Source organism: Homo sapiens, chromosome 1 (genome assembly GCF_000001405.40).
Source record: "Homo sapiens chromosome 1, GRCh38.p14 Primary Assembly".
NCBI classification, from domain to species: domain Eukaryota; kingdom Metazoa; phylum Chordata; class Mammalia; order Primates; family Hominidae; genus Homo; species Homo sapiens.
Genome location: NC_000001.11, coordinates 70,858,486 through 70,877,240, shown reverse-complemented (window position 1 = coordinate 70,877,240; position 18,755 = coordinate 70,858,486). Strand labels below are relative to the sequence as shown.

Sequence of the window (18,755 nt, the reverse complement as noted above, 5' to 3'; positions counted from 1 at the left end):
ATCAAGAATGCAATCCCATTCACAACACCACAAAAAGAATAAAATATCTAGGAATACAGCTAACCAGGGAGTGAAAAATCTCCATAATGAGAATTACAAAACACTGCTCAAAGAAATCAGAGAAGACACAAACAAATGTAAAAACATTCCATGCTTGTGGATAGGGAGAATCAATATTGTTAAAATGACCACACTTCCCAAAGCAATTTACAGTTTCAATGCAATTTCTATCAAACTACCAATGAAATTCTTCACAGAATTGGAAAAAATTGTTTCAAAATTCATATGGAGCCAAAAAAGAGCTTGAATGGCCAAGGCCATTCTAAGCAAAAAGTACAAAGCTGGAGGCATCACGTTACCCAACTTCAAACTATACTACAAGGCTACAGTAATCAAAAGGGCAGGGTGCTGATACAAAAACAGACACATAGACCAATAGAACAGAATAGAAAGCCCGGAAGTAAAGCCACAGACCTACAGGCATCTTGTTTTTGACAAAGTTGACAAAAACAAGTAATGGGGAAAGGACTCCCTATTCAATAAATGGTGCTGGGATAACTTGCTGGCCATACGCAGATGATTGAATGTGGACCCCTTCTTTATACCATATACAAAAATCAACTCAAGATGGATTAAAGGCTTAAATGTAAAACCCACAACATGAAAACCCTGGAAGATAACCTAGGAAACATCATTCTGGACATAGGCTCTGGCAGATAGTTTATGAAGACACCAAAAACAATTGCAACAAAAACAAAACTGGACAAATATTTTCTCCCATTCTCTAGTTTATCTGTTTATTCAATTGATAGTTTCTCACAGCAAAAGAAACTATCAATTGACTAAACAGACAACCTAGAGAATGGGAGAAAATGTTTGCAAACTACACATCTAACAAAGGTCTAATATCCAGAATCTACAGGGAACTTAAACACATTAATAAGCAAAAAAAAAAAAAACCCATTAAAAAGTAGGCATGGACATGAACAGACTGTGTCCAAAAGAAGACATACACATGGCCAACAAGCATATTATAAAATGTTCAACATCACTAACCAGCAGAGAAAGGCAAATCAAGACCACAATGAAATACCATCTATACCAGTCAGAATGGCTCTTACTAAAATGTCAAAAAACAACAGGTGCTGGCAAGGTTGTGGAGAAAAGGAAACGTTTATACACTGCTGGCGGGAATGTAAATTAGTTCAGCCATTGTGGAAAGCACTGCAGTGATTCCCCAAAGAACTTAAAACAGAATTATCAATCAACCCAGCAATCCCATTATTGAGTATGTGCCCAAAGGAATATAAATCATTCTACCATAAAGACTCATGGGTGCGTATGTCTATTGCAGCACTATATTCAGTAGCAAAGACATGGAATCAACCTAAATGCCCATGGATGGATATACAACATATTACACAGCCATAAAAAGAACTAGATCATGTCCTTTACAGCAATATGGATAAAGCTGGAGGCCATAATCCTAAGCAAACTAATGCAGAAAAAGAAACCCAAATGCCACATCCTAACTTATAAGTGGGAGCTAAACACTGGGTACACATGACCATAAAGAAAGGAATATCAGGCACTGTGTCCTACTTGAGGCTGGAGGGTGGGAGGAAGGAGAGATTTGAAAAATTCCTTATCAGGTACTCTGTTGATTATCTGGATGATGAAATAATCTGTACACCAAACCTCTGTGATGTGCAATTTACCTGTATAACAAACCTACACATGTACCTCTAAACCTAAAATAAATTTAAAAAATAAAAAGAAGAAAAAAGAAATTGTATTCTTCTCCTAAAACAAGGACACAGGCCTTTTTTACAGTCTGTCCATGCCACTTTAAAAGTTCAATCCTCCATATACTTGCTTAAGTACTGATTAGTTTGTTACCTTTCTAGGCACAAATGATGTTTAGAGAATTAATTTTAATGTCAACAGCAGGACAGTAACCTGTCAAACCCCAGGGAGGTTGATCACACCCTTCAGATCTTAACCAGAAAGTGGCTGAAGGAAAGCCATTGCAAACCCATGTCTCATTTTTGTCCCTAAAATTGAGACATAGAAGGCAGAAAGTCAGCATCAGTCTCCAAGGACTTTTTGCAACCAGTATTTCTGTGCCAACATCTTAGGCCAAATTATTGGAATGAGGTTTAAAACACTAGGGGAAGGGAGAAGCTGAATATTCCCCCTAGGCTAATAGTTGCCTGGTGAAATGTCACTGCATTTGTGTCAGAATGCGCAGAGGAATGCAATCCTGTCTGGGCAGAAGGCAAATAGAAAACCCAAAGGAGAGCTGATTCAATCACTCTGTATGATTTAGAATGTATTATGGTCAACATAGACACTGATCTACTTTTCCCAAGTTCCTATATTTAGGGACTGAAACTGCTGTTTCAAATAAAAAAAAAACATAAAATGAATTATTCTGAACACTTATACAAATCTGTTAGTGTGTTCAATTTCTCCTGGGAAAATGCAATGATTTGATGACAGTTCTGGAAGGGAACAAACAGAAGTATAGAAAGGGGTATGGGGAAGTTTCAGAGAGAGAGACAGAGACAGAAGGAGAGACATAAAGAGATAGAAAGGAGAAATACAGAAACAGAGTCTCAAAGAAAGAAAACAAAGAAGGGCAGATTCAGAGACAAGTTGTGAGGCAAGAACCAGACAGAGAAAACAAACACAAAGAAGTAATATTTAGAACACAGAGAGGCCTAACACTGAAAACCAATGACATAAAAACAAATGAAACACTGAAAAAATGTATATAACTTTTAAAAACCCAAGGAACCAGCCAGAGGAGCTGGGGAGGGAAAAGAGAGAAAGGAAGATAACCCATGGCAACACGCAATTGAGTCAATATTTATTGAGTGCCCACAGACAGCATGGCAACCTACTGGAACTTAAGTAGAAATAAATTCAATTCTCTCCGGTCCTGAAGGGTGGGGAAGCTCAGGTCTGCCATTCTGCCTAGGGGCTGAGGAAGTGTGAGTACATGCAGTTCTGCACTGAGCTCTGCTTGCTGCAGTTTGGCCCCAGCTCCACTTCCTTGGTCTGACCTGCAACCTTCTTCCCCAAATTCCATTGAAGAAAAACAAATACTTAAAGAGACACAAAGTTTTGTTTGTTTGTTTGTTTGTATGTTTGTTTTTTGGTATTTGTAACATCAGGTCTAAAACAAGTACTATTATTAGTAATAATGCTATATTTCTTTATGAAACATAAAAATCTGGAAGCTAGATGTTTTCAAAACAGAAAGGTTAAAATTTTAAGAAGAGACCAAACAAGAGACCACTTTCATTACGTATCTTCCCTCCCAGGTCCTGACATATATAATAATACATAGTATTTTAAAAGCACCAAAACCCCCTCCTGGCCAACATGGTGAAACCCTGTCTCTGCTAAAGATACAAAAAATTAGCCAGGCATGCTGGTGCGTGCCTGTAATCCCAGCTACTCAGGAGGCTGAAGCAGGAGAATCTCTTGAACTCGGGAGGCAGAGGTTGCAGTGAGCCGAGATAGTGCCATTGCACTCCAGCCTGGGTGACAGGGCAAGACTCTGTCTCAAAAAAAAAAAAAAAGCACCTCACATATCGCCACTAAAGAACTTACTCATGTAACCAAACACCACCTGTTCCCCCAAAAAACCTATGAAAATTAAAATAAAATAAACAAAACAAATCTCTCTAAATTTTATACAATTTAGTCTAGAAAATACGTTGTAAGAATGTCAGAGTACACAGACACATATCTGATCAAAATGTCTCCAAAAAACCTGCAGAAAGGGAAATGTAGTCTATTATATGACTCACCGTGCCCATGAAATAAAAATAAACCATGGTTTCTAAGAAATACAACCATTTCTGGCAGTGGGTGCTAGAAAATAGATTTGCAAAGAAAAGACACAATAATCAAAGCTCATTATGTTCCATCAATGGACCATACCTATTCAGACCAAACTATACCTGGTAAACCTAAAGAAAGAAGGCACATAGCAGAATAATTTGTGGAATATTAGCTTATTTATTCTTCCTATATTTTCCTACCTCACAACTGGAATTTTAGAACTGCTCTGCCTCTAGGATTTTTACAGGGTGGAAAACCAAAAGACACTTAAAAGAGATTTTTTTTTTGTCATATTAGAACTTCTTGAAAAGACTATGCTACTATTATCCTGAGGATGCAGGATAGAGAGAATACTTTCAGAAGCTTGGAAAGAGGGAGCTATGCCTCCTGAACCAAAAAGAGGGTCAAAGTCAAGGGCCCAGGCATTTCTCAGTAGCAAAATACCACCCCAGGGAGGTGTTATGTGTTAGTGGAAAGGATCACACAGTCTGGAACAGAGAGATTCTTAATGGTACCCAGTGGACAAAGGACCAATGACTACATCTCAGATGATGTGGCACTCCCTATAACTAACTTTAGGAATTCAGCACAACTCTATGGTGTGGCAAGTCCCAGTAGTGACTTCAACTGAATTCTCTACCACTCTAGCAAAATAGACTATGAGAACAATTTTTGTTAATTTTATAAAAAATGAGCTATTTCATATACATTGGAGTTTGTGGTCTAGATGTCATATATGCTACACAAACCTTGGCGTCAAATAGAATGAGGTCTGACTTAACTTTTGGTCATCTTACTTAATTTCTCCAAGTCTTACTTCTGTCATCTGTAAATGGAGACCAAAGGTAGAATTTTATTCATTTGTTATTATAAGTTGCGAGCAATAGCTGTATGCTCAGTGCTTAGTCCAGTACCTGGAACATAGTCAGTGTTCAGTAATGGTCATTATTTTTATTCAGTTTGAAAAATGTCTCACTCTAGTAAGAAGTCAAGCAAAATTTTGACACAAAGCTTATACGTAACTATTACAGAGGGAAACACCATCAGTTATGCACAACTGTTTACAAGATTTAAAAATGTAGACTATTAATAGTTCTTCAAGAGAAATGCCCCTAACCATTTCAGGAAGGACAATATGAACATACAAACCAAGAAAAACACCGACCATCTCCCACAACTTTCTCAGCAGAGGCCCGTGCCCATTCAGATCAACGTGTCCAATAAACCTCAAACTCATGGGAAAGAAAAATTTTAAAAGCAATTCAAAGCTTTAATATGTCAATGGCTTTTAAAAAGTCAACTGTCACACTTCTTCTCCTTTTCTTCCCTCCCTTCCCTCAACACAATCGTGTTTGAGGCCAAAGCTATTTATAATTCTTGGAGTGACTGACGTTAAAAGACTTTTGACAAGCAGTCTAGTGACCTTGATGAAAGTATCTTAATCTGACAGATAGACTTCTCAAATGGAATGTGGGAGGGGAGAGCATACTTTAACTTTTGGTAAGCTAAAATAGCACCTTGAAAATTGAATGACCCTAGATATGGATTTAGTAGTTGTACCCATTTCAGGTTATAAAAGCCCTAAGATTAAAAAAAAATTGCAAGTCCAGCTCAGGATAGAGGAAGGTTGATATTTCTGCATCTAATGTATGCCTCTAGCTCATTAGGTAATAAGGTTTGCATTCACATTAAAATTCTTAGTGTGACTTCAGGCTCTCCTCATTTTTGCTTTCCTCTACCCTTCTCAAATGATTTGGGACTAATCATTGGTTTCAGTTCTCTCACCAAGGGGCCCATGGTGAAAAAATCATGACTTAACAATTCAACAAGCATTTCTTGAGCATTTGTTATGAACTCAATACCAGGAATACCGACATGGACATAGTCTCTGCTGTCAGCCCTATCTCAAAACTCTGGCAGAGGCTTCTCCAGTTATATAGTTTGGATATTTGTCCCTGCTCAAATCTGATGTTGAATTGTAATCTCCAGTGTTGGAGATGGGGCCTGATGTGAGGTATTTGGTTCATCCAGGCAGATCCATCATGGCTTGGTGGTGTCCTCATGATGGTGAGCAAGTTCTCATGAGATCTGGTTGCTGCGAAGTGTGGCACCTACCCACCCCCTACTGTCTCTCTTGCTCTTGCTTTTGTTATGTGAAGTGCCTTCTCCCACTTCATCTTCCACCATGAGTAAAAGCTCCCTGAGGCCTCCCCAAAAGCCAAACAGATGCCAGAACCATGCTTGTGTGACCTGCAGAACCATGGACCAACTGAACCTTTTTTTAAAATAAATTACCCAGTCTCAGGTATTTCTTTAGAGTAATGCAACAATGGCCTAATACAGAAAATTGATATTTAGAAGTGAGGCATTGCTATAAAGATAGATACCCAAAAATGTGGAAGCAGCTTTGGAACTAGGTGACAAGAAGATGTTAGAAGAGTTTCGACATCTCAGAAGAAGACGACAGGAAGATGAGGTAAACTTCGCAAATTTTTAGAAACCCATTAAATGGTTGTAACCAAAATGCCGATAGTGATATGGACAATAAAATCCAGGCTGAGGAGATTTCAGACTGAAATGAGGAATTATTGGGACCTGGAGCAAAGGTCACCCTTGTTATTCCTTAGCAAAGAATTTGGCTGTATTGTATCCATGCCTTAGGAATCTGTGGAAGTTTGAACTTGAGAGTGACAACCTAAGGTATCTAGATTGAAGGAAGACATTTCTAAGCAGCAAATTGTTCAAGATGTGGTCTGAGTTCTTCTAACAGCCTATGTTCAGATACCAGAGCAAAGAAATGACTTAAAATTGAATTTATATTTAAAAGGAAAGCAGAGCATAAATGTTTAGAAGATTTCTCAGCCTAGCCATGTGGCAGGGAAAGAAAAAGCATTTTTCTGGAGAGGAATCCAAGCAGCCTGCAGAGAAACCACTTGCTAGAGAAATTTGCATAAATAAAAGGGAGCCAAGTGCTAATAGCCGAGACAATAGGAAAACAATTTTGAAAGCATTTCAGAGACTTTTGAGACAGCCCATCACAGGATCAAAGACCTAGGAAGGAAGAATGATTTTGTGGGCCAGGCCCAGGGCTCTGCTGCCCTGCACAACCTCAGGACAATGCTCCTTGCATCCTGGCTGCTCCAGCACTAGCCATGGCTCAAAGGGGCCCAGGAGTAGCTCAGGAAGCAGCTCCAGAGGGTGCAAGCCATAAGTGTTGGTGGCTTCCACATGGTGTTAAGCCTGCAGGTATACAGAGTGCAAGAGTGGTGGAGGCTTGGCACCCTCCACCTAAATTTCAGGGAACATGTAGAAAAGCCTGGATGTCCAAGCTGCTTATCAGAGTGAGCCCTCACAGAGAACCTCTATTCAAGTAGTGCAGAGAGGAAATGTGGCATAGGAGTCCCCACACAGAATCCCCACCAGGGCATTGCCTAGTGCAGCTGTGGGAAGAGGGCCACCATCCTCCAGACCCAAGAATGGAAGAACCACTGGCACTTTGCACCCTCAGTGTAGAAGAGCCACAGACATGCAACTCCAACCCATGACAGCAACCACAGGGACCGAACCCTGCGAAGCTACAGGCCAGAGCTGCCAAAGGCCTTGGGAGCTCACACCTTGCACCACTGTGTCCAGCATATGGGGCATGGAGTCAAATGAGACTATTTTGGAGCTATAAGATTTATTGACTGCCCTGCTGGGTTTCAAACTTGCATAGAGCCTGTAGCCTTTTTCTTTTGGCCAATTTTCCCCCTTTGGAATGGGAATGTTTACCCAATGCTTGTACTCACATTGTATCTTGGAAGTAAATAAATTATTTTGACTTTACAGGCTTATAGGTGGAAGGAACTTATCTCCAGATGAAACTTTGGACTTAGACTTTAGACTTGGAACTTTTGAATTAATGCCAGAGCAAGTTAAGATTTGGGGGTACTATTGAGAAGTCATGACTGTATTTCGCAGCATGAGAAGGATGTGAGATTTAGGGGTGGAGAAGAGGGGTGGAATGATATAGTTTGGATATTTGTCCATGCCCAAATCTCATGTTGAATTGTATTCCCCAATGTAGGAGATGGGGCCTGATGGAAGGTGTTTTTGTCATGCATGGAGGCAGGTCCCCAGGACTTGGTGCAGTTCTCATGATAGTGAGTGAGTTCTTGCAAAATTTGGTTGTTGTAAAGTGTGATACCACCCCTGCCCCGACACACATACAGTCTCTCTTGCTCTTGCTTTTGCCATATGAAGTGCCTTCTGTTTTGCCTTCCGTTATGAGTAAAGCATGTACAAGCATGGCACTGGAATGTACTGCAGGCTGTAATACGTGAGACTGGCTCATTTATTTAAAAAAAGAGGTTTAATTGGCTCATGGTTCGGCAGGCTTTAAAACATGGCACTGGCATCTGCTTGGCTTCTGGGGAACCAGCTTCTGGGAACCATGAACGGCCTAATACACCCAGCTTCTTATAGCTGGGCCCATTCATTCTTGTCTACCACCCAATCTCTTGAGCCACTTCCTGTGGCTCCCACAACCTCCCACTATGGCATTGTATTTTTCTTTCTTGTACAGTTACAGAGCAGCTATAATTCAAGATTTATGAACTTTTGAGGTTCATTCTTCTGATGATGATTGGAACTCATGCATGAGTTTCCACTAATGTTCCATTTTATAGAAAAGGGCTTCCATTTTTATTTTGGCTTCCATTTTCATTCTTGTTCTAGAAGTCTTCATGATTTTCTAGATCCTTCCTACGAAGAGTTTCGTTTCACTCAGACAGTCCTGCCTCTCTGGAGATAAGGCTTTATTATCCAGAGCAAAATCTTAGTGGCTGTGATCTTTCTACCTGCACACAAGCTTCCCTAATGACATCTGTTTGGATTTCTATGTTCTATTTGTACATTACTTTGTGCCCACCTCCAGGAGAACTCAGTGTGAGCTTGTAAATAATAAACAGACACTGTGTCATATTCTAAAGCTATGGAGATAAGACACAGAACCTACAATCAACAACTACAGTCTCAAAGGGAAAACAATAAGGCAATAGACAATTATAAGTGATTTATAACTATAAGTAGCAGAAGTATTCAGAAACACCATGGGCATAGAGAGGAAAAGCCCAAGTCTTCTCATGAAAGTGAAGGTGGGCATCACAGAGGAGGTGAGGTTTGAGTGGAATTGTAAAGGTGACATAGGAGTATACTAGATGAACTAAATGGTTGATAGGAAAAACGGGACTGGGTGAAGGTACACAGATTGGAGGTAGTGGGGACAGTGTATGCAAAAGCCTGGGATATACAACAGCATGGTATATCTAAGGTATAATAACCCTGTATGTTTTGCTTAGGAGTTTGACTTTTATCTTATAGGCCAAAACAGCAAATAAAATTAATCTGGAGGGCCTACAGACTCCTGCCTCTCATGGTATTTAGTAATGTCTATTGTGGATGAGGAAGACAGGACTGTGAATCAAATGCTGTCTGTTTGCAATCTAAGCATAGATAAACTTGAGCCACTGAAGGATTTTATTAATCTGTAAATAATGTACCTGCAAGTTTCTGTCTTGTGACTCCAAGTAGGAGAGCTTCCTTAAGATCTAGCCTGGCCTTGTGGATGTATTTACTGACCATGTCAGGATTTTTATCTTTCCAGACTTTTTTTTTTCTTTTTAGATGAAGTCTTACTCTGTCACCCAGGCTGGAGTGCAATGGCACCATCTTGGCTCACTGCAACCTCTGCCTCCCAGGTTCAAGCAATTCTCCCACCTCACCCTCCCAAGTAGCTGGGACTACAGGCGCCTGCCACCACACCTGGCTAATTTGTTTTTGTATTTTTAGTAGAGATGGGGCTTCACCATGTTGGCCAGGCTGGTCTCGAATTCCTGACCTCAAGTGATCTGCCCGCCTCGGCCTCCCAACATGCTGGGATTACAGGTGTGAGCCACCGCAACTGGCCCAGACATTTTTAATTGCAAGTAAACAGCCTGTAGATTTCTTTGAAGGTTTTAATATTTGCCCTCAAAGTGAGAATATTAAACTATGGAAGAGGAATAAGCAAACAAATAAATATGAATAGTGTGATAAGTGCCATAATAAAGGTACATTCTTAAAAGCCTGCAACATAATGCAGAGAGAAAAACTCTACCTGGATGATTAGAGAACTCTTTATCAAGTAGATAATACAAAAGCCTTGCATGACAAGTTAGAACTCTTAGAGGTGGAGAAGGGAATTTGCAGAAGAGGAAACAGCCTAAGCTAAGAGCACTAGTGTGGGGGCATCTGTGGTCTATTCAGGAAACAGCAGAGAATTTTGTATTGACAGTGTGGTGGTAAACCAGGACTGGTGGCAGATATACAACTGTAAAGGCAGGTTGAGGCAATTGTGAAAAACCTTGTATAACATGCTTTGAGCAGAGCTGTTTCTTAGACACACCTCTGATGTGGTAAGGAGAACAGGCTGTAACTTAGCATGGAGACAGAGAGAGTAGTTTAAAATCCAGTAAGGCATTCGGAGCAGAGAAGCTGATCCAGAAGTAAGAGCATGCACCCCCTATCCCGCTGCCTGGAAAAAATGCAGAAGTCCAGATTGGAGTTACAGTTCCATCACAAATGGCCTATGATTCAGGCTGTGGGAACACCTCAAGCAATCTCAGCCTGATAGAGCCGCCAGTGCCCTCTGATGGTGGCCTGTTTGATGGCCAGAAATCAAGGCACCATCTAATTCCTCTTCCATTTCCCAAGGTTTTACCAAATGCTTGGCTGCTGTGATAACTGCTGGAGCCACAGATCTTCAAGACATTGGTCTTTCAATCGAAAAGCTCATAGTCTGGTCATCCTGATGTAAGACACAGAGATGAGCATATCATTGGTCTATGCAATAAAAAAATATGCATAAGAAAGTTTGTATAGAAGGATGATTAACTCAGGACTCGGGGGCTTTGATGGTGGTTTGATCTCTGGGTTGGTAGTGAAAATATACCCATGGAAGATGTAATTGGCCTCTGAAATAAGATTAGGACTTCAGAAGGTAATTAATAGGAAGGCTTTCATTGAGACCAACATGGGTTATTTGGAAAACTGAAAGTAAGTCTGTGTTCTAGAAGCATCAACAGTTGGCACAGATTTTGCAGTGGCTCTTCTGAGGAAGTCTTAATGATACTCAATGTTTCCTACAGGGCTTCACTCAGCAAATATGTATTAGGCATCTTCTACAGGCCAAGCCCTCTGGTGAGCAATGTGATATGGGACCCCCAAGGTGCTTACAGCGAAGCATTAAGACGGGCGTTCAGACAGAAAGATATGAAGGGGTACTTTCTTTAAAGTTCAAGTTGTACACAAGTAGCAGTTGGCAGCAAAGGGAAACAGGCTTTTACATGGAAGGGGGCAGTCAAGGAAAGCTTCCCAGAGAAGGAAGTGCTTGAGTTGAACTTTGAAGAAGAAATGAGTAGGAATTTCCCGGATGACAGTCCAGGAAAGGTGTGGCAATTTTGTTTCTGTGATGTGGCTCTAGATGAGTGTCTTCCTGCCTCTCTAGTCATGTCATCTCTGCTCTTCTCTTCAGGCTCCTCTTCTTCCCACCTCTACTGTGATTGATCCTTCAAGGTTCTGTGCTCAGCCCTTCCGTTGGTTCTTGGATTTGTCCTTTCCCGCCATGTCTTCATCACATCCACAACTTCCACTAACACTTGCGAGCTTCAAACTTCTTAGTAAGTAAAGACTCCACATTGCCAAGTACAGGACTTTTTACCCAGGAAGTCAGCCTATCTCTAATGAAACATGCTCCAAAAATAACTTACCATCTTTCATCTCTGTTGTCCCACCTATCTTTTTGTGGCCTGATTTTATAAGTCAAGAACCCTGAAGAGATCCTTAGCTTGCTTCCTTTCTATTCCCAACATCCAGTGACTCTCCAAGTTCTGCAGTGCTCTTAAATCCTTTCTGTGTCCACTGTTAATTCCTTAAAGGGGTCCCTCATAATCTCTTGCCTGTCTGATTGCAGTCACTTCCTAATCTGTCTCTCTATTTCCAGCTCACACTCTAAACCTATCCTTCCTCACTACTGCTGGGGTGGTATTCCCAATCAGCAAGTCTGATTTTGGATCATATCCCACTTCACCACACCCCTACTGCTTTTGATAGTCCCATGTTCCTGACAACCTTTGGAATTAGGTCTCAATGCCTTAGGGTGGTAGACAAACCTCTCCTGCTGACCTCATCAGTAGCTTTATCTGTTGTCCTCTCCCTTCAGGAATTCACCAGAAATTCTAAACGGATTGTAGATCTCCCAAAATATCATTTTTTTTCATATTTTCTTGCCTTGAAATGCTATCACCTGTAATGTTTTCCCTATCACTCTTTCCACATGACACTGTCACGTCCCCTTCCTTGACTCTGCCTTCTGGATAGATGGCCACTTTCTTTTCTGGGCTACTTCTGGACCAGGTATTCTGAACTATCTATTATTATGCCACTTTGTGAAAATCAAAGAAGCAATATAGCTTAGGAGTTAGGAAAAAGCAACCAAATCCCAGCTCTGACACTTACCAGTGTGAACTTAGGCAAGTTATTTAATTTCTCCTTGGCTTAATTTCTACAAAACTTAGCTATAAAATGGGACTGATAATAGTATCTGCCTCATAAAATTGTTGTCCAGTTAATGTATATAAAGTGCTTTAAACAAAAAAGTACTGGGCTTATAGTAAGGATTATATAAGAATTTGATGATTGCCAACTGTGAGCATCTCGATTTGAGGGAACTATGTCTTGTTCATCTCCATGTTCCCAGGGCCCAGCACCAGTGTCTTACACACAGGGTATGTGGAACAAATGTTTGTTTACAGAGGAATGACTGAATCTCTGGCTTTTCCTTTCCCTTGGTGTAAGACCCAGTAAATCCCTGAGTCATGCTGATTTTCCTTTCCAATGTCCTCCGTGTTTAATTTTTTTCTATGGTAACTATCACAGCTCCTTCATTTATTCAGCAAAAAGTTATTAGTCAACAGTGTGCAAGGCACCCTAATTGCTAGAGATAACTGCTGTAAACAAGACAGATTCCTTCTGCTTATGGACATTGCATTCTAGCAGAGGACACAGACATGAAATAACAGCACATTAATTACCTGATCAAGAGTGATATATATAATAGGAGTCTTGGGGAGGTCAGAAAATTTCTCTTAGATAAAAAATTTGACTAATATAAAAAAAAACTAGAAGTAAATAGCTAGAATAAGGTGGTAAAAGCTGTGGTGGAGAGTGACCCAGGCAAAGGGAATGGCATGTGTAAAGCTCTGAGGTAGGAAGAAATTTAACATGTAGATTTTTAGTTCCCTGTGTCTGGATTATTGCTACAACTGCTACCCGATTTCTGTAAAGAATGATCGTCCCCACTGCTCTCATATTAAACTTTCCATCATGTAGATTCCCTGCTCAAGAACCTTCCATGATTCTCTATTGCCTACTGAATGACATGCTAATTCCTGAGTTGTTTTTCATGTCCCAATATAATATGGGTTTCAGTGATTATCCAATTTTATCTTCCACAAATCATCTACCATATACTCACCATAGCCATCATGAACTACTTGATATTCTCCACACATTCTTTATGTTTTCCTACCTTTCTACCTTCGTTCAGGTTGTTATTGCTACCAAAATGCCTTTCTTCTCTGTTCCTATCCATGCTTGTTTCACAAAAAAAAAAAATCCATTTGCTATATATGTGATGTGCTTTGATATTTTCTATTCTAGTCTATTACATTCTAGTTCAGTTTTTAAGACAAACAAGCAAGATGTAAGCCACATAAGTGATTTCGTAACTCATGAATGGATCTTGACCCAGGGTTGAAAACATTGTCCTAAATAGCTTTAAAGATTTTTTCATGATCTATGATTTTGAAGAGGGTTGGCTTTACTAGAGTCAAAATTTTCTTCTTGCAGTAGAATCCTCTAACCAGCTACATCTGGATTATTAGTCATCTGTATTCTCTGAAGACAGGACAGTGAAATTCAGCCTGAACACATGATCAATGGGGAAGCTAATCATACAGATCCAAAGCACCCTAAGGATGCTTAGTAATACATCTTGATTTGTAGGTGATATCACACTTTGCTATTTCAATCCTGCCAATGATCTGAACTGAAGTTGCTAATTGTATTGAACTGTTCCGGATCACATCTTGGGCAAAGACGAACATGGGAGAGCATTTGTTCCAGCTGAGACTGAGAAAAAAAAAATCCTCTTTTAGCAAATAAATCCATAGCAACTAGATGCAACTGTAGCTCATGTTATGGCCCATCATCTCTTTCTCTAAGACAGAGAACCTGGGCATCGGCCGCCCCCTTCTTTAAATAACCTACCACCAATCCTCTTGACTTTACATCCTACAAGTGTCTCCGATCTGTTGACCTCTCTCCAACTTTCCTGCCTTGCCTGGAGCTCAAGCCTCCTAAATGTTTATTTTGCAATCTTTCTTAGTGTTTCACACAGTGAAAGATCTATTGTGCCATCCTCCTGCTAAGAACCATTCAGTTATCCGCTGTTTGTTCCCTTAGGAGAGGGTCCAGTGGATACTACATAAAATTGCTTGCAAAGCCCTTCCTGATCCATCCTCAGTAAGCTTTCCTGTCTCATTCTTACTCCCTTCTTTCTTCTTTTCCTCCTCCTTGTCTTCTCTTCCGCCATTCATCTTCTACCCTCTGATCATTAAAAACAAAAAGCTTTGTTCCTCAAACACTTCATGTTTGTTTTCTTTGGTTTGGTTTTCTGGTCTAGAGCATTCCCTTCTTTATTAGACAGCTCTTATCCTTCCTTCAAAACACATCTTGGATATTTCATTCCTTGAGCTTTCTAAGTCAAAGCCATGAGACTCTCCCCTGTCCTCCCTTAATTCCCTATAGTTCACCATTACACCATATCCAAATTATCCATTCACTTCACTTCAACAGTGTGAAAGCAGGACTTTTTCAGCACAATATTTCTATTGCCTATCACATAATAGGAGAACCCTGCAGTGTCCAGCTAAGCTGATGACTTGAAGATAAATCTGCCTAACCCTGGGATGAAGTATCTGTGAACTATTTTGACAGCAGATGTAAGTCATGATCTCCAAAGAACTTACCAGTTACTATTAATATTTTTTTTTACTTAGTATGTTTAAATCTCCATTTGTTTTATGTATCTCATTTCATAAATTCAGGAGTGGGTGAAAAAAAGAGGTGCTAATTTTGGTTCCCTGAAATTCCAATATTTCAGGTAATCTCTCTTAGACACTAAATTTTACTTCTTACCAGGCCCACCCTGGCCAATATATAGATCCTCAGATTAATGGGGCTTTCACAACAGTTTTATTCAATTATTCTCAATCATCCACTTTTCATTGATTAAACAACTACTAAGTGCTAGATACTGGAAATACTAGATGGTTAAGATGTCATCCCTCCCCTCAAGACCTAGTCTATCCTGAGCTCCAAGGAGGGAAGGGACCAAACAGTAAGCTATTATGAAATAGAAGTTCTTACATAAACTTTAACAGCCAAAGAGTTCCACAGAAGCATAAAAATGTTAAGAAATGAGAGTTTGCTTTCCGTACAAAAAAAGAAAACACCAAGTAAGTTTTATGAATGATAAATATTCTGAGAGAGAAACACACAGCAAGCTGCAGATACCATACAGAGAAGTTTTTGTTTTTTTTTTTGCTAATGGAACCATGAAGATTCCCATTGCATCCACTCACATTTAGTCAGTGCTATTTTAGTTAATTCTAATGGATTCTTTTCTCTTTAAGTTTTATTTATGTTTGATTGACACACAATGATTGTGCAAATTTATGGAGTAAAATGTGAATGTTTCCCTTTATAACTGAAAAGCAAGTAGCCTAGCAAAGTCTACAAATTTCTTCAAAGGCATAAAAGCAAAATATAGCCAAGGTGATGCAGCAGGTGTTGCAGGTTGTTGCAGGTGTTGCAGGTGTTGATGGGTGGTCAACATTTACAGGTTGTGCTGATTATTAAACTTTGAATGTTAATGTGGAGGCTGCTAATGCTAACACTAGAAAGTTAGAAATGTATTCTGAAGGATTTTTGACTTAAGTAAAATTAGAAATGAGCAAAACCTTTCTGGTCAGAATGATTCTACAATTTTCACAAGCCAAAAATTATTCAAAATGCATCTCTGAGGCTTTTGCATAAGTATTTAGGACCTCTTTGAATTTCTTGCTATTCCTGTAACATATTTGCTTTATAATACGTTATCCCTTTGCAGTTCTTTCTGGTTGGAATAGCTCCCTGCCCCTCAGGTGCCCAGTAAACTTAATTGTCACTTCTGTGAAGCCTTACAAGATCAGTGGGAATCCCTTAGGCTGAATTAATAACTTCCCACTCCTAGTGGCCATACCACTCTATGACTTTCCTTTTAAATTGTCCTTACTCCATTATAGTATTCTTTGTAGAATTGTCTCTGTTCCCTAACAGACTGTGTAAGCTACTTAATAATTCCATAATTCCTTAGCTACAGGACCCAACAGTGCCTTATATAAATTTCCATAAAGGCAGGTTTAATGGGTGAATCATTCTACTTTTTTCTTTGCCTCTTCTGTGTCACCATAGTACTAAGTCTCTGTTCTCTTTCATGGTCTTTTCTTCTCCAGTTTGAAAAACTTTATGATGTACAATAAGGTCTCACATAACATTATTGGTAGGTTCTTGAAAACTGCAACTTTAAGTGAAATGATGACTATTGAAGTCAATTTTACCATAGGCTAACTAATATAAAAAAGAGATAAATTCTTAGAGTGTATTTCTGCTCACAAAAATGTCACCAAACTTCTAACTAAAAAACAAAACCCTTCTAATCTTAAACCTTGAGATAAATGTAAGCTATACATCCATTTAAGAAAGATTAATACAAACAAGTAAGATAATTATTTACCCTATTATTTCAGTTCATGGTCACAGGTGGCCAAAGTCCTTCCTGACAGCTCAGGTAGCCAAGCAGAAACCCATCCTGGACAGAACAATGTGCAAACTCCACACAGACAGTAGCCCCGATGGGGAATCACATTTTTTTCTCATCAATGTTATAATGAAATGAAGTTGAATAAAATGGCATTGAATAAAATATTATTTGAGTGCCTGTTGTACATTACTAAAAAGTTCTAATTTGACCATTAGAATATATATTATTTTTAATTAGTTACAAATTTATCTTAGAAAAAAGTAGGAGTTCTAGTTTAAGAGCCATTTTTGTCAGTTTGGGACAATCACTTTACTTGTCTTGACTTCAGTTTCCTCATCCAAATAACGAGGACATTACCAAATGATCTGCAAATCCAGCGCCCACTCCCCCCCACCCACTCTAATATTACGGTCCCATACTCTTTCTGAATTCATGAAAAACGCATAGTCTAGGTCACATAATAGTACACTTAATTAACAGTTTTATTATCTTGTCTCATTACTTCTTTCTTTGCTCTTCCTCAAAAACACATAACCAAATAGTAAGTTCTATGATGTCTGAAGAACTCAGAAAGTCAAACCGATACAGATTTAAGTCCTGATTCTGCCATACGAAACATCTTTCTTGTCAACTTCCTCAACATGGATAAGGCTCAGTTTCTCATGTGTAAAATGGGAATAATAATAGTAGTACTTTTTAAATAGAGTCATAGCTAGCCTCCTTCTGCATTTCTTACGAGTTCCTGCAATTGGCAGTCGTGTAAGAATGCAAGGTCTTAATAACACAGATACGTTCACTGATGAATTAATCACTAGCCTGTGTTTTCGCCCGTTATGTCAAAGCATTTTTATCTGTTTCTTGCTGATTGCCAGATACTGTAAATACCTAATATTACAATAAAATTACAGTGCCAACTACATATAGTGCCAACTAAAATTGTAAATCTTGCAATATATGCAAATCTTCATGAAGTTGATAAACACAGAGCTAAATAATTGTAAGGAACACAGGTGAAGCCATTGACAAATTGAAAAAAAGAAAACTAATGAGAATATGACAGACTAGGCACCATAAAGACACTAAATGGAAAATGCTGATTAAATAGATACATGACTCTAACATTTTTCACAAAACTAAAATCATGTGGCAAATCTTTAAAAAGGATAGTTTTGTATTGTTATGCAAATGCTCAAAATTAATTATTTAATTCATTCTTTGCTCTTTCTAAGGAATAATTTATGGAAGTAATGAGCAAGAGGATGAAATTCAGCATGAGAATAGGAGCATCTCACAGTGGGCACTGCAGAGAAAGTGGGGGACAGTGAGAAGCAGCAAAGGCAGCCCACTCCTCATTCTCAATTCTGACACAGGCCAACTCTGGTGCTTACCCTTAGCAGCAAAATGAGAAAGCAGTGGACAAAAACACAAGGCGGATCATTGAACTCTGTGTGTCTGATACCTAACACCTTATTGAAGTTTCAACCTAAGCAAGTCTATTCAAATATTAAAAAACTAATAATGTTTAAACTTCCATAAAACCTTAGTGAACACTAATTATTTCTATAGCATTTTGCAATAAATAAAAGTAATTTTACTGCTTTTTGTTCAACGAATAACTCTGTGAGGTAGTTGAAACAGATATTACCTCTATTTTACTACTGAAAAACCAAATGTTGGTAGGAGCTTACTCAGGTACTCAGAGAAAGAACACAGGTCCTGGACCCCAGGGCATATTGATAAAAATGTTTTATGTCATTTTCATCTGACCAGTAATGTAGTTCAAATTCTCATTATAATCTTTTTAGGGTATATTTTGTTGGTCCCAATTTTCTGAAAGATAAGAAATCTGAGGATTGAAGAGATTCAATAAACTGGCCCAGAGTCAGTGGTAAATATCAGTTTCCTAATTCCATGATCCCTGCTTTCTCCAGGACACTCTCCCCTTTCACTATGTCAG

General features: G+C 39.1%; 1 protein-coding gene across 8 annotated transcripts in view; it reads left to right on the top strand.

The window, feature by feature from the left end:
• Window positions 1–18,755, top strand: part of PTGER3 (prostaglandin E receptor 3) — a 195,459-nt gene that overhangs the window by 170,576 nt on the left and 6,128 nt on the right. For 2 of the 8 annotated variants that reach the window (NR_028293.2, NR_028292.2), the window contains 2 exons: window positions 7,922–7,997; window positions 14,844–14,936. The exons of 4 other annotated variants lie outside the window; for them this stretch is intronic. The gene's annotated coding sequence lies outside the window, so the exon portion shown is untranslated. Of the gene's footprint in view, window positions 1–7,921; window positions 7,998–11,407; window positions 11,553–14,843; window positions 14,937–18,755 lie in introns of all 8 variants that reach the window. 2 more of the 8 variants (NR_028294.2, XR_946714.3) reach the window with 2 other exon arrangements.